Here is a 25,773-nt window from a genome sequence, read left to right as displayed (position 1 = left end):
AATATGGTGAAACCCCATCTCTACTAAAAATACAAAAATTAGCTGGGTGTGGTGTCAGGTGCCTGCAATCCCAGCTACTCGGGAGGCTGAGGCAGGAGAATCGCTTGAACCCGGGAGGTGGAGGTTGCAGTGAGCTGAGATCACGCCACGGCACTCCAGCCTGGGGGACGGTGAGACTCCATCTTACATACAAACACACACACACACACACACACACACACACACACACAGAAGCGTGAGGGGAACTTACTTCTCGGGCGACTCTGAGTGGCCCCTGTGCTTCCGTCCTGATGAGTTTCCATACACGTCATCTTCGTTTTCATCCACATCTTCATCATCGATGCTTTTCACATCAAGCTTCTGGTACCCAAACTCCCTGTTCAAAGACAGGGAATCAATTTTCCACGAGTTGCTGCTCTGACTTCCATTGGAGTTTGGCCCGAAGGGGCTTTCAAAGGCGGACATGATATTGACAGAGGAGTGGTCGGAGTTGTCCTCTGAGCTCTCCCCTGCCCCAGGTGTCTTTTTAAACATGTCCCCAGAGTTCTGCTCATCTTCCTCATCATCAAATGAGATAATGTTGGTCACTTGCTTTTTCTTCTTCCGCTCCTTTTTGCATTTGGCATCTGGCAAAAAAAAAAAAAAGAAAAAAAAGAAAAGATACAGTATAAGAAAAAGTAGGCAAGACAAAAGGATGATGAAACCAACTCACTTCCAGGTTGTGGAAAATACTATTCTAGTGAGAAATACACTGTAACATGAATTCAGACTTTTTAAAATCCTCAGTGAAAATCTGTGTACAGAAGATTGAGCAGAATGGATGCAGGCCTCTCCCACTGATTTAAATAAACACACCACAGAGCACACCTTGAAACTGTTCCTTCCAAGCAGTCACTTTGATGTGAAGGATGCTACCATTACCAAAATGATCTTCAATGCTTCACTTTGGAAAATATTCTCATAGCTGGTAGATGAGACCAGGAGAACCAGCTGGGGGGTGTAGTCAAGTGTTGAGCAGCCTCAAATTCCTGCCATTCCTGTGCAATGCCCCTTTGCAATGGGTCTTTGTGGCTCCTCCCAGCCAGAGGTGATGTCTATTTCTGCACCCTCTTGAATCTGGCTGGCGTAGTGCTCTGCCTTTTTTTTTTTTTTTTTTTTTTAAGAGTTGGGGCATCTCGCTCTATTGCCCAGGCTGGAGTATATTGGTGCAATCATAGCTCACTGTAACCTCAAATTCCTGGGATCAAACAATCCTCTGCCCTCAGCCTCCCGAGTAGCTGGGACTACAGGTGCATGCCACAACACCCAGCTAATTTTATTATTATTTGTAGAGATGAGGTCTTGCTGTGCTTCCCAAGCTAGTCTCAAAACTCCTGGCCTCAAGCAATACTCCCACCTCAGCCTCCTAAATTGCTGGGATTATAGGCATGAGCCACCATGCCCTGCTTTTACCAAAAGAATGTGGCAGAAAGGGCCGGGTGCGGTGGCTCATGCCTATAATCCCAGCACTTTGGGAGGTCAAGGCGGGTGGATCACCTGAGGTCAGGAGTTCAAGACCAGCCTGGCAAACACGGTGAAACCCCGTCTCTATTAAAAATACAAAAAAAAAAAAAAATTAGTTGGGCGTGGTGGCAGGTGCCTGTAATCCCAGCTACTTGGGAGGCTGAGGCAGGAGAATTTCTTGAACATGGGAGGCAGAGGTTGCAGTGAGCTGAGACTGCGCCATTGCACTCCAGTCTGGGTGACAGAGCGAGACTCTGTCTCAAAAAAAAAAAAAAAAAAAAAAAAGTGGCAGAAATAACACTGTGTGAGTTCTAGTAGCTAGGCGTTAAAAGGTCTCAGCTTTGCCTTTGCTCTCCTGGACAGTGGCCCTGACCCCATACATAAAGAAGCCAGTTCAGCCGACTGGAGGATGAGAGTCCATGAGTAGAATCTGAGCAGCCCCAGCACTGATTCCAGACATGTGGATGGGGCCATCTTAGATCTTCCAATCTAACCACGAGCTCCCATGAGTGAGCCGAAGGAGCCCAGCAGCAGAGCCACCATGCCAACCTACACAAAAAAGTAACGAACTGCGGTGGTTTTAAGCCACTACATTTTTAAATCACTTGTTATATAGCAAATGCTAACTGAAAAAGAAATCAAGCTTGCCTTAGTGACCAGCTCTCACAGAAGACACTTTGTGCCCCTATTTTAATCATCACACTTGGATGTAAGACACTTTGAGCCAATTCCAAAAACCCAATCTGTCTAAACCAATGTGTGATGTGGTGAGGCCTCACTGGTATAGCACAACTCTGAGATCACCTCAAAAGCAGTTCCAAAAATGGGTGGGACTGCTACTCCTGTGGGTGTAGAAATTTCAGTGTCTGTTACACAAAGCTGTCAACAGCCCTATCTCCTACAAGGTTCATGCAGGGTCACCATCAATAATTCCAAAGGGATGGCCACAGTTACTGCCTTGTTTAAGAGATTTGAGAATACTAAGTACTTAAGCCCAAAATTTCCAATTTCAACCAGATGCAGTGGCTCACACCTGTAATCCCAGCACTTTGGGAGGCCAAGGCAGGAGGATCACTTGAGGCCAGGAGTTCAAGACCAGCCTGGGCAACATGGCAAGACCCTGTCTCTACATATATACACATACATACTACAACAAAATTTCCAATTTTGCTGTAGTAACATCTTAATGTCCCAAAGGAATCAAAGGGTATTGAAAACTTCTCACCAAATTAATCTTAACTGAATCAACTTTCTTTTTTTATATTTAATTTTTTAATTAAAATTTTTTAAAAACAGGCTGGACACAGTGGCTCACGCCTGTAATCCTAGCACTTTAAGAGGCCAGGGCAGGCAGATCACCTGAGGTCAGGAGTTCAAGACCAGCCTGGCCAACATGGGGAAACCCTGTCTCTGCTAAAAATACAAAAAGAAACCAGGCATGTTGGCACATGCCTATAGTCCCATCTACTCGGGAGGTTGAGGCAGGAGAATTGCTTGAACCCAGGAGGTGGAGGTTGCAGTGAGCTGAGATCATGCCACTGCACTCCAACCCGGGCAATAGAGCGAGACTCTGTCTCAAAAAAAAAAAAAAAAAAAGTTAAAAAATTGAGACAGGGTCTCACTACATTGCCCAGGCTGGTCTAGAACCCTTGAACTCAAGTGATCCTCCTGCCTCGGCCTCCCAAAGTGCTAGGATTACAGGCATGAGACACCATGCCCAGCCTGAATCAACTCTCTTTTGCCTCCCCAGAGCCTAGAGTCAAACCTGACAACTCCTCTCTTTCCTGAGGCCTTAAATGCCATCCCCAATCAGAGGCAAGCCCAATGGCAGATGTTCCCCATAGCAGTCTATGCTTGGCTTTCATCCCTCTTATCCTAAGGATCCTAAATTATATATTTTGTCATGAACTACCCACCCACACCCATCCCAAAGGAGACTGCAGGCTACCTGCTGGCAATCTGTCTTTCCTATTCGGCTCACCGCCTAACACACAGAATACGATGAAGGAACAAATAAAGGAATGAATGAATGAGGATCAACGTCATCTGGCTCCCGGTGTCTCTCACACCCTCACTTTCCATTCGCTCTGGTTGAGCTGTTCATTTTTCCACCCAGCAATTCTCACATCTAGGTAAGGCCATCAGAGCCCTTTCAGAGTGAATGAGGATGAGAAACAGAAACACAAATGGAAAACGCAAGTGCACTGGACTCCATTCCCCTTGGAATGACTTTCAGATGATGAGGTATGTCCACCCCATCAGCCACATTCTGATTCCCTCTGCTCCGCCTCGAGCACCAGTTCCCACTCACCAGCACTGACATTCCTGGACACGACGGGCAAGGGGTCGGTCTCCTGTTCAGGTTTGATGAGGATGGAGATGGCAGAGGAGGCTGTGATCTCCCTGAACACGCTGCTCACTCCTTGCGTGGACTCCTTCAGCAAGGTCACATTCTGCGTTGACTCCTTTAAGAGGTCTGAAACGGTGGGAGCAAACTTACTCTGCCCGTTCAAATCCTTGTTGTCAATGTTAATCGCAAAGAGTATGGAGTTCGGACCTGTCCAAAAAAAGGGAAAAGTCTGGAGTGCTTGCTGATGGGCAGTCATACCACCAATAAGAGAAGACAGCTGCAGACAACAGATTACAGAAGAGGAGACACGTTGATCTTAAATAGGTATAAAAATACCTGCCACACAGAGGTTGCAGGGAGCCGAGATCGTGCCACTGCACTCCAGCCTGGGTGACAGAGCAAGACTTGGCTTCCAAAAAAAAAAAAAAAACAACCTCCCATGAAACTGGGGTCAGCAGACATCCGTTATCATGGGAGTTGAGTCATGCCACATTCTCTCCCTAACAGCCAGGAAGATGAATATGAATAAGAATTCAACTGGGAGGAGGTAAAGGCACAAGTCCCGGGATCAGGCTGCCTGGGGGTAAATCCCAGCACTGCCACCTACTAGCTACAAGACCTTGATCCAGGCTGGGCATGGTGGCTCACACCTGTAATCCCAGCACTTTGGGAGGCTGAGACAGGCGGATCACCTGAGGTCGGGAGTTCGAGACCAGCCTGACCAACATGGAGAAACCCCATCTCTACTAAAACTACAAAATTAGCCAGGCGTGGTGGTGCATGCCTATAATCCCAGCTACTCAGGAGACTGCAGCAGGAGAATCGCTTGAACCCAGGAGGCAGAGGTTGTGGTGAGCCAAGATCATGCCATTGCACTCCAGCCTGGGCAACAAGAGTGAAACTCCGTCTCAAAAAAAAAAAAAGACCTTGGTCCAGCAACTTATCATCTCCCTGTACTCCAGTCGCCTTATCTGTAAGATGGGGACAATATTATCTTCCTCACAGGATTGTAAGTATTAAAGGCAATCTCTCACAAAACACTCAGCTCCATAAACCATCAAATGTGCACTGGTAACATCATCATCATTAATGTGGACAGAAACTTACACTGGGCATCTTATGATCTACAAAGGAAATCATGGTCAAATTCTTTTTCTCATCAATGGACAGGACTAACATAAGCCCAGATATATGAGTTTAGTATAAATTTTCAAGGAAAAACAAAAAGGAGGCAACAAAGAACTTGGAAAGAGGAAGCAAGTTGCCCACTTCAGTCCAGCTGATTCCACCTTTCACCCTTTGAGTCAAAGGGTGAACAATGTAACAGTCCACCGACTAACATCAACCCAGGGTCTCTCCATGTTGATTCGTCGTGTGTGCGACTCCTGATCTCACATGATTCTCTCACAGCCCCATGAAGATGACTGCTGAGACAGCATGATTCCCACCTCACAGAGAGGAAAGAAAAGGCAGCAAAGCTTACGGCATCTGCCCCAGGTCACCAGGTAGCAAGGAGTAAAGCCAGGATTCAAAGATAGGTCTCCCACCTCCAATTCCCCGCAATGCATATTATATCTCCAAAGCCCAACTAAAAACCTTCAAATCTTCGCTTTCTCTGCCAGGGTCTCACATTCTAGATAAATGGACCCAACACTGTGGTTGGGCATGGTGGCTCACACCTGCAATCCCAACGCTTTGGAAGGCCAAGGCGGGTGGATCACTTGAGCCCAAGAGTTCGAGACCAGCTTGACCAGCATAGTGAAACTCTATCTCTATTAAAATACAAAAATTAGCTGGGCGTGGTGGCAGGCGCCTGTAATCCCAGCTTCTCGGAAGGTTGAGATAGAAAAATGACTTGAATCCAGGAGGCGGAGGTTGCAGTGAGCTGAGGTTGCATCACTGCACTCCAGCCTGGGTGACAGAGTGAGGCTCTCTCTTTAAAGAAATAAAAATTTAAAAACCAACATTCAGTGCTAGTAAAAGAAGGACAGCAGCAAGTGACTCATTGAGTTGTTGAGGGACAGAAGAATCACAACATTCCATGGCGCTGTGGAACTGCCCCAAGGCAGCCCCTCTGCCATGTGTCACAAGGCCTGGCGCCCTGGTCTGGGCCAGGCTTACCTGCTGCCATGGTAGGAAGCATACTGGACCTCTCTTCATCCATCACAAAAGACCAGTCTTCATAAAAAGTACTGCAGATTGAAAGAGAAAAGGAAATCGTTCTTAGCAGTGGTTCTCTGTGTCCATTAACCAGGAAATTCCATTAGACGGCTCCCTGGAAGATCTGCACCTGGTCACCCCAGGAGGGATATGATTTGTCTGAGGTCTCTGCTGGTTTAAAGCTTCTGGTTACAAACAGAAGATTGAACACATACATCCTACAACTTCCTCGCTGGTCCCCCCCGACCCTCAGCTTTAGAGTACTAAAATAGACATGATATGTAAATGTATTTATAAAGCAGCAAAGTAGAACGGAGCAGTCAGGTGGGTGACTTCCACTCAAGCAATGTCCCCAAGAGACAGACAGGAAATCCAAGCCTGCCAACAGGGCTCGCCTGATTTGCCTAATACAAGAAGAGACCATTTCAGACAGAAATTACAGAGCCTCTATGGCTTCATCAACCAGGGCATTTAATATAATGCCTGCCTTGGCCAGGCACGGTGGCTCACACCTGTAATCCCAGCACTTTGGGAGGCCAGGGTGGGAGGATCACTAGAGGTCAGGAGTTCAAGACCAGCCTGGCCAACACAGTGAAACCCCATCTCTACTAAAAATATAAAAAATTAGCTGGGCATGGTGGCAGGTGCTTGTAATCCCAGCTACTCGGGAGGCTGAGGCAGGAGAGTCGCTTGAACCCAGAGGCTTGGTAAGCAGAGATTGCGCCACTGTACTCCAGCTTGGGCGAAAGAGCGAGACTCCACCTCAAAATAATAATAATAATAATAATAATAATAATAATATAATGCCTGCCTAGGTTACAGGCCTGAAAGCCCACATTATCCTTGGAAAAGGCTAGGAGGCTAAAAATGCCCCACAAATCTAGATGGCAGTTGGGGTAGGGGTGTCAAGGAAGCCCACAGGGCCTGTCCAAGGTCATCTAGCCAATAAATGGTCCAGCCAGGGCTTAAAAGCAGGTCTCCCGAGTCCAGCTTCCAAGCTCTCTCTGACTTCATGTTAAGCAATGGAAACCAAAAATCCCCAATGCCATAACTTCCCCGCCAGGTCATTGAATTCTAAATTAATCAAGGAAAAAGTCAATTTCACTAAAGCAAAGTCAGGGATACATGACCTGTAGTTGAGTGAGAGACTGGAAAAATTAGCCACTGAAGTGACTGAATACAACTAACAGAAAGAAAGAAGAGGAGCATTTCCAATATACTTTCCCAGAAAATGTTAGTAGACGTACAAACCACATGCTCAAGCTGACATTCTGACTGCACCTGATTCCTAAAATCATAATCCTTTAAAAATCTGAGCCCGTTTTCACGCATCTAAATGAATGTGTTTTCCCAACATCCAGCTGGGGAAGTGGCTGGTGATCCAGGTAAAGTCAACTGTGATTCTTACCTGCTGGACTGACTTCTCCTTGTTGGTCACTTCAACTTTGAGACTGAGTATGTAACTCTGAACTACCCGTAAATGATATGCTGGAAGGAGCTTCACAGAAATTCACTTCAAAAAAAAGGAGTAGGTCAGACACAGTAGCTCACACCTGTAATCCCAGCACTTTGGGAGGCCGAGGTGGGAGGATCACGAGGTCAGGAGATCGAGACCATCCTGGCTAACACGGTGAAACCCGTCTCTACTAAAAATACAAAAAATTAACCAGGCATGGTGGTGGGCACTGGTAGACCCAGCTACTCGGGAGGCTGAGGCAAGGAGAATCGCTTGAACCCAGGAGGCAGAGGTTACAGTGAGCCAAGATTGCACCACTACACTCCAGTCTAGGCAAAAAAGCGAGACTTCTCCAAAAAAAGGAAAGAAAGAAACAGGAGTGTGTTTTCCTTAACTAAAGCTGGTTAATGCCCTAGAGGTCCAGACATTCTCAGCCTCCGAACTCCGACCGTGAGCAGTACACAGGTGTCGTCAGTGTCAGTCCTCCTGGCTCCCAAGCCCTCCCATTTTGGACACATAGAGTCTTGCCATACAATTGAACAAGGAGCCACAGGCAACAGAGAACTTTAAGGGTATTTTTAAGAGCCCCAGTGCACAATCCCAGAAGATCTGAGACATTACCAGTAGAGAGGTGACCACAGCAGTAGATAAAGCAGAAGAGGAGACCTAAACTAGGGAACACAGGGCAAGATATAAAATCAAGGGAACACGCCACACTACTCACAAGCTGCCCACTTATTGAATTCAGTGAAATTTCACTGTTGAAGATCTGGGCGGTGCTGATCAGGAAGTTACTTAAGGAACCAGAACAGGATTCATCAGGGTCACTCCGTATCACTCAAGGACACAAAACAACTTGTCTAGTCCACCATTCTCAGAGCAAAAGTAATGGCCACGGCCAGGCACAGTAGCTCACGCCTGTAACCCCAGCACTTTGGGAGGCCTAGGCGGGTGGATCACCTGAGGTCTGGAGTTTGAGACCAGCCTGGCCAACATGATTAAACCCCGTATGCACTAAAAATACAAAAAATCAGCTGGGTATGGTGGTACACGCCTGTAATCCCAGCTACTCAGGAGGCTGAGGCAGGAGAATCACTCGAACTGGGGAGATGGAGGTTGCAGTGAGCCCAGATAGCAGCAGTGCACTCCAGCCTGGGCAACAGAGTGAGGCTCCGTCTCAAAAACAAACAAACAAACAAAAATGACTTCCTTCCCCAATATAAAATTTCCATGTTTTTTTCAGTTTGGGATTGAATGAATGCAAGAATCCCAAATTAAAATTCTGCACCTGGCATGGTAGCTCATACCTGTAATCCCAGCACTTTGGGAGGCTGAGGCGGGAAGATTACTTGAACCTAGGAGTTCGAGACCAGCCTGGGCAACACACTGAGACCCCATCGCTACAAAACAATTTTTTAAATTAGCCAGGCAGGGTGGCATACACTTAGGGTCCTAGCTGGTCAGGAGGCTGAGGTGGGAGGATTGCTTGAGCCAGGGTGGTCCAGGCTACAATGACCCGTGTTCATGCCACTGCACTCCAACTTGGGAAACAAAGCAAGACTCTGTCTTAAAAAAAAAAAAAAAAAAAAAAAAATCCAGAAAGTGAAGAGGAAGCTATGTCCTAGGACAACAGCTCTCTCCACATCCAAGCTGGCTGTATGCAAGTGCCATGCCGAGCCCATTACAGGCAGTCTCTCAATGATTCTCCCCCAAGTTTCTCCACAGCTCAGCAGAACACTCCGGAGCTGTCAGAGGGAGGCCCACTTGCCCCAGATCGGGGAACTAGGATGAAAATCCAGGTGGTCTGACTACAGACTCCAAGATCTTCACCCCTTGCTCCATCCCATTCCAGGTCCCATCCCGGCCACGTACCTGAGCCTGCAGCGGTCGGCCAGGAGCATGTGCAGGTAGCGCTCCAGGGAGTGTTCGTTGAGGGCACAGCGCAGCCAGGTGCGGCCCCGGCCCACGTCTGAGGCGATGTGGCGCAGGGAGTAGAAGCGCTTGCAGCTCGTGCTTGTTGAGGACCTCCTTCACGTAGTACCAGAACACGGGCTCTACGGAGAGAGGGCACAGGTGCCTGGCACTCGGCCTGGGGCACTCAGCACTGGGAGAGGAACACACAAAGCCTCTAGGCGATGTTGGAGATTGTAACAGAGTATCCCCTTAGCATGGAAAAGGTAGGAGATAACACCAAAGACATGGTATCAACCCAGATACTCATCAATAGTGGACTAGATAAACAAAATGTGGTACATTTACACAAGGAATACTATGCAGCCTTGAAAAAGAACAAAATTGTGTCCTATGCAGCAACATGGATGACTGGAGGCCATTATCCTAAGCGAATTACACAGAAATAGAAAACGAAATATTGGATAGTCTCACTTATAAATGGAAGCTAAACACTGGGTACACACAGACATAAAGATGGCAAACAACAGACACTGGGGGCTGCTAGAGAGAGTAGAGAGGGAGGAGAGCACGGACGGAAAAACTACCTACCAGGTACTATGTTCACTACCTGGGAGATGGGTTCAATCGTGCCCTGAACCTCGGCATCACACAATGTACCCAGGTAACAAACCTGCACATGTACCCCCTGAATCTAAAATAAAAATTGAGGCTGGGAACGGTGGCTCATGCCTGTAATCGCAGCACTTGGGAGGCTGATGTGGTGGATCACTTGAGGCTCGGAGTTCAAGACCAGCCTGGCCAACACAGTAAAACCCCATCTCTACTAAAAATGCAAAAATTAGCTGGGCATGGTGGCGCACACCTGTAATCCCACCTACCGGGCGGGCTGAGGCAGGAGAATCACTTAAAACCAGGAGACGGAGGTTGCAGTGAGCTGAGATTGCACCACTGCACTCTGGCCTGGTGACAGAACAAGACTCAGCCTCAAAAACAATAATGAAATAAGAAAAAAAGGTGGGAGATACAGAAGAGTATATCAAAAATAAAAATGACTCTAAAACCTCTCATCCAGAAAAGACCAATATTGACATTTTCAAGAATTTTCAGTCTTTTTTACTGCACTTTTCTTTTTTATAATAAAATCAACATTTGCTGTAGGCTGAATTATAATCCTCAAAGATATCGACGTCCTAAGCTCCAGAATTCTCTGAATATTACCTTATATAGTAAAAGAGTCTGTGCAACTGTGTTAGGATCTGGAAACTGGGAGGTTATCTTGCATAATCCCTGTGAGGCTGATGTAATCACAAGATCTTCATAAGAGGCAGGCAGAGAGAAACTTGACACAGAAGAGGAGGACATGATGTGGCCAGAGAAGCAAAGACTAGAATGGGGCAGCCATAGCCAAGGAAGGTGGGCAGCGAGCAGACTCTGGAAGGGCCAGAAACGGATTCGGCCCTGAAGCCTCTGGAAGGAAGCAGCCCTGCTGTCACCTTGACTTTAGCCCAGTGAAATGGATTGGGGACTTCTGGCCTCCAGAACTGTGGGAGAATAAATTATAGTGTTTAAAAGCCACCAATTGTGTATTAATTTGTTACAGCAGCCAGAAGAAAAGAACACATCAGGCCAGGCACAGTGGCTCATGTCTGTAATCCCAGCACTCCGGGAGGCCGATGCGAGCGGATCATCTGAGGTCAGGGGTTCGAGACCAGCCTGGCCAACATGGTGAAACCCCATCTCTACTAAAAATACAATAATGAGCCAGGCATGGTGGCAGGTGCCTGTAATTCCAGCTACACAGGAGGCTGAGGCAGGAGAATCACTTGAACCCAGGAGGCGGAGGTTGCAGTGAGCCGAGATCACACCACTGTACTCCAGCCTGGTCGACAGAGCAAGACTCTGTCTCAAAAAAAAAAAACAGGCTGGCGTGGTAGCTCACGCCTGTAATCCCAGCACTTCGGGAGGCCAAGGCAGGCAGATCACGAGGTCAAGAGATCGAGACCATCCTGGCCAAAATGGTGAAACCATGTCTCCACTAAAAATACAAAAATTAGCTGGGCGTGGTGGTGCACGCCTGTAGTCCCAGCTACTTGGGAGGCTGAGGCAGGAGAATCACTTGAACCCAGGAGGCGGAGGTTGCAGAGAGCCAAGATCACGCCACTCCACTCCACTCTGTCTCAAAAAATAAATAAATAAAACCACATCATATTGTATGAGTGTATACGCATACATATTTGTATGTGTAATTTGGATCCTGATTCATTTATTTTCTTGTCTAGAGCATGAACATTTTCCTATTACAATTAAAAGTCTTTCAAAGATGATTTTTGATGGCTTTCCAGTAAAACAACTATTTCCATACTGCTAAGGGCATGGCACATGGCCAACTTTCCCTCTGTACAGTAAAGAACACCCCTATACATAAATAATTGTCCTCATTCCTAGTTCCTTAGGAAAGATTTCCACATGTCAAATTACTCAGTCTGAGGATAGGAACAGATTTAAGGCGTTATGGGAAACCTAAGAAAGTTTGTTTTTATCCATAAGACAGTCATTCCTACAACTACTTGTATCTCCTCACATCCCACCACTTTTTATCCACATGTACACAGATTTTTAAAATTTTTTATATACATTTTAAGTTAATTATTATTTATTTATTTTTGAGACAGGGCCTCTCCCTCTGTCACCCAGGCTGGAGCTCACTGCAGCCTCAACGTCCTGGGCTCAAGTGATCCTCCTGTCTCGGCCTCCCATGTAGCTGAGACACAGGCACGCACCCCCATGCCCAGCTAATTTTTTAATTTTTATTTATTTGTAGAGATGAGATTCTGCTATGTTGTGCAGGCTAGTACCAAACTCCTGGCTTCAAGCGATCCTCTTGCCTGAGATTCCCAAAATGCTAGGATTACAGTCGGGAGCCACCATGCCCAACCCCAGATATTTTCATAGTTGTAATGCTAGTGTATACATAATTTTGTGATCAATTTTCTTCACTTAACATTGGCTCTTTAACAGTTTTTCATGCTGGCAATAATAATAACAGCAGCAACAGCAACTACTATTTACTGAGCATTAACTTTGCACCAGCCATTGCAGTAAACACTTTACATCTGACATCATCACAACCAAGGCCATCTCCATGTGAAAGACAAGGTCTGAAGCCAGGACAAGTGAAGCGACTCACCCAGCAACACAATTAGTAAACAGTATGGCAGAAAGGGACCCCAGAGCTCACTGCAAACCACTAAATCACACTGCCCTGCAAAATGAGGGGACTTGGCCTTCTTCAAAATGATCACGTTCACAACTGTTTAATATTCCAAGTGGGGGAAGCTGAGTCTTTGCAGTCGGACCTGGCTTCCAATCTAGGAGCTAAACAGGCTCACAGTCCCCTCTGAAACATGACAAAGGCTTTGAACCTGCCTTCCAGAAGGAGGCAAGTACACCCATCTCCAGAAACTGCATGGCAGGCTAGTTAAGTTCACTCTAATGTTTCAATTCAACTTCACTAGGATCCACTGCATTCTTCCTGGGAGCTGTGAACCGAGCTAGGCTATGTGTCACCAGCTAGAGACAACAAGAACTCGTCCCTAAGGGGCTTCCAGTCTAGCAGGCAGGACAACAGAGAAAAAGTCCATTCAACCAAATGACCTTGAGCAAGTCACTCAACCATGCTAAGCCTGAAAATCCTCTCCCATAAAATCAACACAAAAGTGCAGAATCGCCCAGGGTTACTAGGGTAACTAGAAAGGGAAGGAAAGCACCGAGCACAGTGCCCAGTCCATGATGACCAATCAGCATTTGCTTAATAATTAATTCCCTTCACAGCAGAGGGCATTCGCGTGGGTTCCTTTTTGTGTTAGCAGCATCTAAATGTATACATCCGTATGAGCGTGCATAAGTATTTGTGGATCAAGCCAATCACTGGGATCATTTAGAATAAACTTCCCAGGAATAACAAAAACCAGCAAGAGGGCAGGTCCCTCAAGACTGTCTTCTGTCTCGATCCCTAAATGTCAAACTAATCCACTTCCCAAGCTCATCCGATCAGTCTAATCCACACAACTGTACAAAACAGCCTTCCTTCCACTCTCCACCTCACTCAGAAACCAGGACGGGGAATCTGGCGACAACAACGCCCTGGGCCAGCTGGCCAACAACGTATTTCAAAATACCCCAGACCATTGTCGGTACGTCCATCACATTTCCAGTCAAGTGACTCTCACTTGCAGCCTGTCTTGAAAAATGCAGTCACCTCCCTCCGACCTTGAATCTACATGAACGCTTTAAAGTGTGTTTTCACCTTTCAATTCTGCAAAATTGCTTACTGCTACAGAATCCTTTTAAAGCTTGTCAGGGTGATGCTGCTGATGATAAGAATTATCCCAGCAGGGTTCCGCTTCCACTGCCAGAATTAATGTGGTCTATTTAAAGTGCAGCTCACCTGCCAATTAGCGCCTGCGGTGTCCATAATTTAATTTAGGGATATACATTGATCTGCTTTGAAACATGGGGTTAAGTCAAAAAGCAGGCAAGGGCTTCTGGTTCTCCAAACACCTGAAAGCCGAATGCCAACAAGAACAAGTGCCAGGAAGGGGTGTTGAGAACAGCTGCCCCGGGACACCTATTAACAGAGGATGACTAACAGCACCAGGCTTTTGGGAAAGTTTCTATCAAGCCTTAACTATCACCGATGCCCAAGAATTCATACCTTGGGGACCACAAGGAAGACAAAAACCTTGTCCCAAATTCTAGTTCAGGCACTGTGTGACCTTGGGAAACTTATTTTGTCCTCTACTTTCTTCATCTGTACAGTGGGGAGAACAGTACCTATGTGTATGGATTGCTATGAGGGAAAAATGAGAAAAAGGAATACATGTAAAGTGTATCCAATAAATGCAGTGAATAAATGTTAGCCATAGTTATTAACATACCTGGCATATAATTGGTGCTCAATGAAAACCAACTATTAATATCACTACTACACGTGCACCAAACAGCATTCCTTTTCCTTGTTTGGGTTTTTTTTTGTTTTGTTTTGTTTTTGAGGGGTGGGGTGGGGACAAGGTCTCACTCTGTCACCCAGGCTAGAGCACAGTGGCACGATCATAGTTCACTGCAGTCTTGAACTCCTGGGCTCAAGCGATCTTCCCATTTCAGGCTCATGAGTAGCTGGGACTACAGGTGTACACCACCATACACGGCTAATTTTTTTTTTTCTGTAGAGGCGAGGGTCTTACTATGTTACTCAAGCTGGTCTTGAACTCCTAGAATCAAATGATCATCCAGCATCGGCCTCCCAAAGCACTGGGATTACAGGCGTAAGCCACCGAGCCTGGTCCCTTTCCCTTTCTTCTAGTAAGAGCACCCCTCTTTCCTATGGGAAACACATTCCACTGGGATCCTTCAGCACTATCCTAACCTCCCCCTACTGCAGGGGTGGACAGCTAACCCAGGGCAGGCAATTAACTGGCCGGAACCATGGCATATGCAACTTTCATTTTTTTTAATATTACATAAAAATAGTATTTATCTTGATTGATAAGTTTTTTGGTACCGCCTTCAATTTTGTGGCCAAAGTGAGTGTGTCACTAACCTCACCCCAGTCTCAGCCCTGGACCACAGGGTCCCTTCGCACAAGTTCTACCAGAGCCACCAGAAAAGAGGCCTTGTCTCCTCCAGAAGCTGAGGTCAGCAAACAACGGCCTGGGGGTCAAATTTGGCCTCCAAACTGTTTCTGTAAGCACAGTGTTCTTGGAACGCAGCCACACCCATTTGCTCCCATATGGTCTGTGGCTGAGTTTCTGCTCCAGTGGCAGAGCTGAGTCACTGCGATGGAGATTGCATGGCTCACAAACCCTATAATACGACCCATAAGGAGGGAGTGTGCCGACCCCGTCCTAGAAGTAGGATCTCTCATCATCCTGGAAACCTGGAGCTACTTGGGGCCATTTTCCACCCCATCATGTAGAGACCCCCCACCCGGAAAGACACCCAACCACAGAGAAGCGGTGCTGAGGGATGACAGATGGAGACAGATTTGGGAGAAGGCAGGCCCCCTGAATCCAGCTCAACTCCAAGATGATTTCTTAGATACTTGAGTCAATAAATAAATTAATTTTCTTCATCTTTTTTTTTCTTAAATCAATCTAAAGAATTTTCTATCATTTGCAACCACAGGAAATAATGCAGTGAGACAGGGCATGTTCTTCAGTCATCTGACAATCATCTATAGAAGACCAAGAACACACCAGGTGCTGAGCAACACCTGTGCTCCACAGCCATGGGGGGTGAGGGGTGTCTCATCAATGTGACAACACTGCCCCAAAACAATGCATTGCTCAACAACAACAACAAAAAAACAGAAAACCCGCCGGGCACGGTGGCTCACGCCTGTAATCCCAGCACTTTGGGAGGCCGAGGCAGGTGGATCACGAGGTCAGGAAATCGAGACCATCCTGGCTAACACGGTGAAACGCCATCTCTACTAAAAATACAAAAAATTAGCCGGGTGTGGTGGCGGGCGCCTGTACTCCCAGCTACTTGGGAGGCAGAGGCAGGAGAATGGTGTGAATCTGGGAGGCGGAGCTGGCAGTGAGCCGAGATGGTGCCACTGCACTCCAGCCTGGGCAATGGAGCAAGACTCCATCTCAAAAAAAAACAAAAAAAAGAAAAAAACAGAAAACCCAAGACCAGCCTGGGCAACATAGTAAGAACCCATCTCTAAAGAAAGGAAACAGAAAACCCAACTACAAGGAGCCGAGTGTGGCGGCACACACCTGTAGTCCCAGCTACTTGGGAGGCGGAGGCAGGAGGATGGCTGGACCCCAGGAGTTTGAGGCTGTAATGAGCTATGATTGCACCACTGCACTCCAGCCTAGTTAACAGAGCAAGGCCCTGTCTCTAAAAACAAAACAAAACAAAAAAACCCACACACAAAGAAAATCCAACCCCATGGAGCTGGGCTAGTCTGGAAATAGGCCAGTGATACAAAGGCTATGTCAGGCCAAAACCTCCAACCTTTTGACCTCGCTGTCCCAGAGGACTGTCCTAACTCTGGGCATCTCATTTACAATTGAGCAGGAAGAAAGGGAATGGGATGAAGCCAGCTTTATCGCCCCTTTTATCAGGAAAGAACAAGTAATCCCAGAAAATCACAAGGGAGCAGAGAAAGCAAAGAACAAAACTCAAAACTGGCTTAATCCCTCACCGAGATAAAGGAGTACATACCACAGCCTCAAGCAAAATCTGGGTTCTATCAAAGCCAAAGAAGACAGAGGGATGAATCTGAGGGCACACTCTAACAGAATCAGCCACACATGGTATCAGCCATGCCAGGAACAAAGGTAAACCAAGTTCACTCATGTGCCAGCCTGAGAACTCAGTGAATACAAGTGCTCCCAAATCTGTCACATCCCAAACTGAACCAGCCTGACTGCAAGGCACAAATGGATTGGCAGAGCAGAGTGCCAAAAAGGGGCTGAGCTCTGTCACTCTACCAACTTCCAACTAGCCACAAGACTGCCTTCCAGAACCAGGGCTCAGCATAACACACCCGCATCCTACAAGAGTTTACAGCATACCACCTCCTTTATTAAAGAGTAGGAAATAAATTAACCAGGCACAGTGGCATGCATGTGCAGTCCCAGCTACTTGAGAGGCTGAAGTGGGAGGATCGCTTGAGCCAGGAAGTTCAAGGCTGCAGAGAGCCATGATTGCACCACTGCACTCTAGCCTGGCAACAGAGCAAGACCCTGTCTCTTATTTAAAAAAAAAAAAAAAATGGGAAATTTCTAAGAAGGACTTCTAAAACTTGTATCTCACTTCCTTTTAGGGGCATACGCCATCATGAGCTGAAGAGTCATTTACATTCTGAAAGGAGCAAAGCAAAGGACCCACGGAACTCAGGCTGGATAACTGTGATCTAAAAACTGACAACTCAGAGGCCAAACTGAGTCTTTTTTACTTTTTTTTTTGAGGTGGAGTCTTGCTCTGTCGCCCATGCTGGAGTGCCAGGGCACGGTCTCAGCTCACTGCAACCTCCGCCTCCTGGGTTCAAGCAGTTCTCCTGCCTCAGCCTCCCAAGTAGCTGGAATTACAGGTGCCTACCACCATGCCCAGCTAATTTTTGTATTTTTAATGGAGACGGGGTTTCACCATGTTGGCCAGGCTGGTCTCGAACTCCAGACCTCAAGTGATCCACCCACCTCGGCCTCCCAAAGTGCTGGGATTACAGGCCTGAGTCTTAATTTATGAGACATCAGGATTAAACACCTTTGAAACAGGCAGAGGTCACATTCGGCCAATAGGTATCAGTCCAGCTCCACTAGATCTTAACATGCTGGGACACATTCATACCCCTTAGTAAATAGCCACTGGCCCAGGTCCCTGCCACCCTGGGTGTCAAGAACCCACCCTCGAGGGACCCTGTGGACATCCCCATGATCCAGTGACCCAGGATAACACACAGCCCAAGGGGTACAGCACCCTGGCTTCTGACTTCCTCCTTAAGGCCAGCTTCTTTCTGCCAGTTGTCAACCACTTTTTTCACCTTGAACGGAGCTCTGCATTTTCTCTGCACCTTTAGCAGACATCCTTCCAAGGCTTCCCTTACCAAAAGCAGCTGATTTGCACGTGCATGAATACAAAAGAAAATCACCAACAGGGAACCAAAAGCAGGGATGGGCGAGTGAGGAACTGGACTTCCCCTCACCATCAAAAGGATGGACCCAGGGCTCCCCTGGCACATGCAGCTTCCTCCAAAATTAATTTTCTACAGAAATGAAATTGTTGCCCAAGGTGACCCAATGAAGCAAAATACAAATTCTGCTTTGAGTGCAATCAACCATTTTCAAAAATCCCCACTGAAGATTAAGGAAGTCGGTCTCTCTCACTTTACAGTTGTGGGTATATTATCACCGCTTCCCACTGACTAAAGATGCATACAGACCACTGAGAGTAGGGGTTTGGCTTCCCGGGAAAATGAGCAGCATGTTCTGAAGTCAGGGTCTTCAAGTGGTTATTTTGAATGCAGTCCTTTGGTGGCCTCTACTGTGCAGGTGGCCAGGTACCTTGCAAGACACTAGAGCTACAAGGATGAGCCTGTAATCCTAACACTTTGGGAGGCCAAGGCAGGCGGATCACCTGAAGTCAGTAGTTCGAGACCAGCCTGCCCAATATGATGAAACCCCGTCTCTACTAAAAATATAAAACTTAGCCAGGCATGGTGATGTGCACCTGTAATCGCAGCTACTCAGGAGGCTGAAGCAGGAGAATCACTTGAACCCAGGAGGCATAGGCTGCAGTGGGCCAAGATTGCGCCACTGCACTCCAGCATGGGCAACAGAGCAGACTCCATCTCAAAAAAAAAAAAAAAAGAAAAAGAAAAGAAAAAAGAAAACAAGTAGTTCCATATATAGGTTTGATGGAAGAAGAACTCAGGACTATAGGAGGGGCACAGTCCAGCTGAACCATGTAGGGAGCTCATGAATGGCTTTTTGAAAACAATTCTGAAACTTCAAGAGAGAAGAGAACAAAACCACATGAGATACCACTTCACACCCATTAAGATGGCAATTATGAAAACAGAAAAAAGGAGGCCAGGCACGGTGGCTCAGGCCTGTAATCCCAGCACTTTGAGAGGCCAAGGTGAGAGGATCACTTAGGGCAAGGAATTCGAGACCAGCCTGGGCAAGATAGTAAGATACTGTCCCTACAAAAAATAATAAAATTACTATATATATATATATATATATATATATATATATATATATATATATGAAAAAAGGGGGTGGTAATCACTCTCTGGTTCTCCCCATGTATACAATTAAAGCTGTATACCTTTTCTCTAATTTAAAAAGGCAGCATTGGCCGAGCACAGTGGCTCACGCCTGTACTTCCAGCACTTTGGGAGGCCAAGGCAGGTAGATCACTTGAGGCCAGGAGCTCGAGACCAGCCTGGCCAACATGGTGAAACCCTGCCTCTACTAAAAATACAAAAATTAGCCAGGCACAGTGTTGCATGCCTGTAATCCCAGCTACTTGGGAAGCTGAGGCAGGAGAATCACTTGAACCTGGGAGGTGGAGGCTGCAGTGAGCCAAGATCACACTGCTGCACTCCAGCCTGGGTGACAAAGCGAGATTCTATCTCAAAAAAATAAATAAAAAGCCAGCACTGGCAAGGCTGTGGAGTTGGCAAGGATGTGGAAGGATGGTGGAGAAAATGGACCTCGTGTGCATTGCTAGTGGGAATGCAACAGGGTATAGCCTCTATGGAAAACCCTCTGATGGTTTCTAAAAAACAATTAAACATAGAATTACCATATGATCCAGCACTGTCCTTGTGGGTATATGCCCCAAAAGAACTAAAAGTGGAAAAAACAAGTATTTGTATCTTCATATTCACAGCAGTACCATTCGCAATAGCCCATAAGTGGAAGACACCCAACTGTCATGGGAATAAACAAAATATGGGCTCTACATACCCTCAAAAATATTGTTCAGCCTTTAAAAAGAAGAAAATTCTGGGCCAGGCACGGTTGCTCATGCCTGTAATTGCAGCACTTTGGGAGGCCGAGGCAGGTGGATCACGAGGTCAGGGGTTCGAGACCAGCCTGGCCAACATAGTGAAACCACGTCTCTACTAAAAATACAAAAATTAGCCGGGCATGGTGGCGCCTGCCTATAGTCCCAGCTACTTGGGAGGCTGAGGCAGGAGAATCACTTGAACCCAGGAGGCAGAGGTTGTGGTGAGCTGAGATAGCGCTACTTACTGTACTCTAGCAAACTGGGCAACAGAGCAAGGCTCCATCAAAAAAAAGAAGAAGAAGGAAATTCTGACACATACTACAACACGGACGATCCATGAAGATGTTATGCTAAATAAAGCCAGACAAAAAAAGAACAAATATTGCATGATTCCATTGGCACAAGGAACCTAAAGTAGTAGAATGCACTGAGGCAGAAAGTAGAATGCTGGCTGCCAGGGGCAGGGGTCTGGAGGGAGTGAGTGTTAGTGTTTAACGAGTACACAGTTTTGGTTTGTAAAAGTGGAAAGGTTCTGAGATGAATGGTGGTAATGATTACTGTATGACATGTGAATGTACATTAAGTACACTCACACTGAATTGTACACTTCAAATGGCTGAAATGGTAAATTTCATTATGTATATTTTACCAATTTTTTTTGTTCGTTTTGTTTTGTTTTGTTTTGAGATGGAGTCTCACTCTGTTGCCCAGGCTGGAGTGCAGTGCCACGATCTCGGCTCACTGCAAGCTCTGCCTCCCGGGTTCATGCCATTCTCCAGCCTCAGCCTCCCAAGTAGCTGGGACTATAGGCACCCGCCACCACGCCCGGCTAATTTTTTGTATTTTTAGTAGAGATGGGTTTCACCGTGTTAGCTAGGATGGTCTCGATCTCCTGACCTCATGATCCGCCCGCCTCAGCCTCCCAAAGTGCTGGGATTACAGGCATGAGCCACCAGGCCCGGCCATATTTTTTTTTAAGAGAGAATAGAAGTTTGGCCAGTAGGAGCTTGGGTGAGAGCTGGGGAAGGAAGGAAGGTAGCAGAAGGGAAAGAACTGCCAGACTTGAAGAGTTTCAAGACAATAGAAACCAGGAGAGCTGTTCAAAATACAGGATTGGGCCAGGAACAGCGGCTAACGCCTGTAATCCCAGCACTTTGGGAGGCTGAGGCAGGTGGATCACATGAGGCCAGGAGTTCGAGACCAGCCTAGCCAACATGAGGAAACCCCATCTCTACCAAAAATACAAAAATTAGGCAGCATGGTGGTACACACCTGTAGTGCCAGCTACTCAGGAGGCCAAGACATGAGAATCACTTGAACCCAGAAGGCAGAGGCTACAATGAGCCGAGATCACACCACTGCACTCTAGCCTGGGCAACAGAGCAAGACACTGTCTCAAAAAAAAAAAAAAAAAAACAAAAAAAAAACAGAACTGAATCATCTAAATTACTGAGAGGCACCAAGCAAAGCACAGGCAGTGGCACTGAAGGCCCTGCCCCACACAGGATCTGGCATTAGTGCTTTAGCTGCTGAATTATGGAGAGGTCTCAAGAGTCCCAAGGCAGGGGTGTGGCAGGAGGGGAGCTTGTGGGACTCAGGCCATCATTTATTTGCAAACTGGATGAAAGAGTTGTGATGTTGGACCTGCCGCTGCCTGTCAGCCCTGGCGTACGGCACGGCATAAGAGGTAGAACAGAGACAGACACAGCCAGCAGGGAAGAGAGCCCAAGAAGCCATATCAAGCACTCGATACTTTGTCCCAATTCTACAAGAGACCCACGGAAGAGCTTTAAGTTAGTGGGGTTATGGGGAATAAGTGGGGGAGTGGGATGGTAATTAAAGAAGACCACTCCGTGATATGCAAAGTGCGTCAGAGCTGATCAAGACTGAAGGCAGGAAAACACAAGTCGGGGAGAAAGAAGAGAACTCACTGACGATGGAGGAACCGCGCGTGGCTCAGGGACCCATGTGAGAGACAGAAAACAGTGCTCTTTGTGGGACTGGTTTTGGGGCAGAGGAAAGGGAGAAGGAGAAGGCTGGGAGGAAGCCCAAGAGCTGTCCAGGGGACCTGGGTAAAGGGCAGAGCCATTTACTAAGCAAGAAACACAGGAACACATATGGATGAAGATCAGAATTCAGTTTTGGAGACTGACAAGCCCGTGCTGTACACCAAATAGAGACATTCATGAGACAGAGTTCGAGGAAGTGCTCTGGGCTGTGGGTATGACTAAGAATAACAGGCACATACAGAGCAACTTCACCAAGGAATCCAAACAGTATGCATAGAAACAAGAGCCAACAATGAATCCAAGGATGAATAATATTTGAGGGTATGGAAGTGATATGCCAACAAGGATCAGAAAAGAAGAAAGTGTGCCAATAGGCTATGGCATCACAGAAAGCAAGGGAAGCCAGTGTTTCAAAGTCAGAAGATCCTCGATGCCCAAGGCTGCCGAACAGACAGGGAAGATTAGACTTCAATTTTACAGGCAGCTCAGCAACAGTAACTGTGTCTCTGGTATATTCTGAATGGCCCCGATCACCTTGTAATTGACTGCCAATCTATAACCTGATGATGATATATCAGTGATTAAAAGAACATCAAATTCCAGCCGGGCGTGGTGGCTCATGCCTGTAATCCCAGCACTTTGGGAAGTCGAGATGGGCAGATTACCTGAAGTCAGGAGTTCGAGACCAGCCTGGCCAACATGGTGAAACTCCATCGCTACTAAAAATGCAAAAATTAGCCAGGCATGGTGGCGCACACCTATAGTCCCAGCTACTCAGGTGGCTGAGGCTGGAGAATCACTTGCACCTGGGAGGCAGAGGTCGCAGTGAGCTGAGATCATGCCACTGCACTCCAGACTGGGCAACAGAGTGAGGCTCCATCTAAAAAAAAAAAAAATCAAATTCCAAGGTCATGCCATCAAATGCATCAAACGCCAATAACAGCAGTGGTTCTTTCTCCTTTCCCAAGTGGAATGGAAAATAATTCATTTTTCCATACTGTATTCTGTACTGGCTACTTGGGTTTCCAGTGGCTACAAAGACAGCAAGCCAAGTCTGTGTAGAGCTCTGGGTCGCTTTTCATTAATTTTTGCTTTGTTCCTTAAAAATTAATCACTTTCCCTGTAGCAAGCTGTAGTGATCCTGGTATATGGTACCTCGGGAACCATGAAATACAGTACTGCACGCAATGAATAATGCCCTTCCTTCCAACCAAGATGTATTTGTTTAGTGAACATAATTTTATTGAACAACCTGTGTAGTGGCAGACACTATGCTAGGCGTCAAGAGAAAGTAAACAAACACGGTGTCCTGCTTTCAAAAAAGCATGCTACATCGTGGGATATACAGAAAACTGAATATGGTATGACGATGAGGGGGTAAAGTGGAATCTCCTGTCCTTTGTTCTGTAAGACAAAGGCAGGCAAGCTTGTCTTTTTTTTTTTTTTTTTTTTTGAGATGGCATCTTGCTCTGTCGCCCAGGCTGGAGTGCAGTGACATGATCTCAGCACACTGCAACCTCAGTCTCCCAGGTTCAAACAATTCTCCTGCCTCAGCCTCCCAAGTAGCTACGATTACAAGTGGGCACCACCATGCCCAGCTAATGAGCTAAGCTAGTTTGGTCTTTTCCCTGCTTCTCATTTGCAGGAGGCTGCTCAGCACATCCTCATCAGCAGAAAACAGCCAGAGACTGCCCTTTCGTTCATCTCATCACCATGCCAGTATAGCACTCTCCCTAAGACAGAGAGGGGCGGCCAGAACGAGAAGGCTGGAGATGCCTTGCAAATGTGTTGGTGGTTCTTTGATTACCAGGGCCAAGCAACAAAAAGATAAGAATTCTAGTCCTGATGGGAACAAAAAGAGCCATTCTTTGTGGCCAAAAGGTCAGCACCTTAAGAAGGGATGACATGGAGGAAGAGGTTCAAAGTTGAAAGGGTGGTGGGAGAGGAGGGTAAGTGGTTAAACATTTATTAGGTGTTAGGAACTAAAGCAGCTGCTTCAAATGAGGTTCTCACTGAATCCCCCTGACAAACCCTCAAGCTAGGCGAGACTATCGCCTTCACAAGTGAAAAAAACGAAGGCTCAGAGGGAACTTTCCCCGAGGCCATTCAGACTCACCCTAGCAGTCTGACTTCAAAGCCAGGGTTGCTTCTGCCTTGCTGGATGTAAGTGCCCAGCTGCCAGCTGCCCTTGGCTGGATGGAGGTGGACCAAGAACCTCATGGCTTACTCACACCAATTCCTCTAAGGTCATTCCCCCAAAGGCAGATAAGATATAAACAAGAAGAAGTATGAGGGCCCAGGAAGCCTGAGGGCAGGTGGCCCTGAGAAAAGCTAAATCCCTGCAAAGCTCCTCACCCAGCCTGTAACACTAAATCACTCATACACAGGGACTCAAGGAGGCGTCCGGGAGATGGGAAGCTGCAGAGACATAATCCAGGACACAGGAGGTGGCCAAAGCCATTGGCAGTGATTTCTATGAGGACTGAAGTAGTCCCTGATGCTGGCTTTTCTCAGACTGGATCCCTCCGTCCCTGGCTGTTGAAGGAGCACAGAAGCATGGCAGAAAATTCAACAGGGACAGGAATCGTTTTTTTTTTTTTGGTGAGACGGAGTCTCGCTCTGTCACCCAGGCTGGAGTGCAGTGGCATGATCTCGGCTCACTGCAACCTCCGCCTCCCGGGTTCAAGCAATTCTAAATGTGAGTCACCGTGCCCGGCTCCAACAGATCTTTTTTTTAAAAAAAATTATTAAAATTATTTTATTGATACATAATATTTGTACATATTTATAGGGTACCTGTGGTACTTTGATACATGCCTAGAATGTGTAATGACTTTCAACAGATCTTTGCTTCTTTTTTTCTTTCTTTGGGCAGTCTCTGGGGGCTAGAGTAGGCTCAGGCTCCTAGATCTTTGATTCATTTCTGAAAATGACTAACTGGTGAAATAAACAAGAAACAAAGATCTAGGAGCCTCTCTGAACTTACCCTAGCCCCGGGAGACTGCTCAAAGAAAGAAAAAAAAAAGCAAACATCTGTTCAAAGTCATTACACATTCTAGGCATGTATCAAAATATCACAAGTACCAAGGCCAGGCGCAGTGGCTCACACCTATAATCCCAGCACTTTGGAAGGCCGAAGTGAGCAGATCACAAGGTCAGGAGTTCGAGACCAGCCTGGCCAACATGGTGAAACCTGTCTCTACTAAAAATACACAAATTAGCCGGGCATGGTGGTGGGCACCTGTAATCCCAGCTACTCGGGAGGCTGAGGCAGGAGAATCACCTGAACCTAGGAAGCGGAGGTTGCATTGAGCCAAGAAGGTGCCATTGCACTCCAGCCTGGGCAACAGAGCAAGACTCCATCTCAAAAATATAAAAATTAAAAACATTTTTAAAAAATTAAAAAAAGAACATAAACAATGCCAACTCCCACCCAAGACTGCATGAGCTCACAGCTCCCTAAGATCACTAGAGCACGTCCATGTTACGCTCAGTATTTCTTTACCAAACCATTTAATTCACGGAAAGAATGAACTTTGTAGTCCAGATTGCTTTACAGCGATGAGGTTCAGATGATCTGTTTTAAAAGGTTCAGTCCTGGTCATCATTTTCACAAGACAAAACTTCCTAGTTAATTAACTAATGCTTTGAGTACACAGTTTTAAAACAGTATCTCTAAAATCACACACACACACACACACACACACACACACACACACGCAAAAGGCAGAAGTGAAAGGCCCACCTCCGCGTCAGGAGGCTCTAAGGGCCGCAGTCCAGTGACTTCACTCAAATGAGCAGCTGTTACTCCTTGTACGTATACAGGGTAAAGCTTCTGTCTGCAGACCACA

At 46.7% G+C, this 25,773-nt stretch overlaps 1 pseudogene across 1 annotated transcript in view; it reads right to left on the bottom strand.

Moving 5' to 3' along the window:
* Positions 1 to 250: 250 nt before the first annotated feature.
* Positions 251 to 25,773, bottom strand: part of SNX29P2 (sorting nexin 29 pseudogene 2) — a 62,773-nt pseudogene continuing 37,250 nt past the window's right edge. The window contains exons 6-9 of the transcript NR_002939.3: positions 9,342 to 9,523; positions 5,975 to 6,045; positions 3,815 to 4,060; positions 251 to 626 (exon numbers count right to left, since the gene is read on the bottom strand). The product of NR_002939.3 is annotated as a sorting nexin 29 pseudogene 2 (transcript). The remainder of the gene's footprint in view (positions 627 to 3,814; positions 4,061 to 5,974; positions 6,046 to 9,341; positions 9,524 to 25,773) is intronic.

Source organism: Homo sapiens, chromosome 16, assembly GCF_000001405.40.
Source record: "Homo sapiens chromosome 16, GRCh38.p14 Primary Assembly".
In the NCBI taxonomy this organism is placed as follows: Eukaryota; Metazoa; Chordata; class Mammalia; order Primates; family Hominidae; genus Homo; species Homo sapiens.
This window is presented reverse-complemented; position numbering and strand designations above follow the sequence as displayed.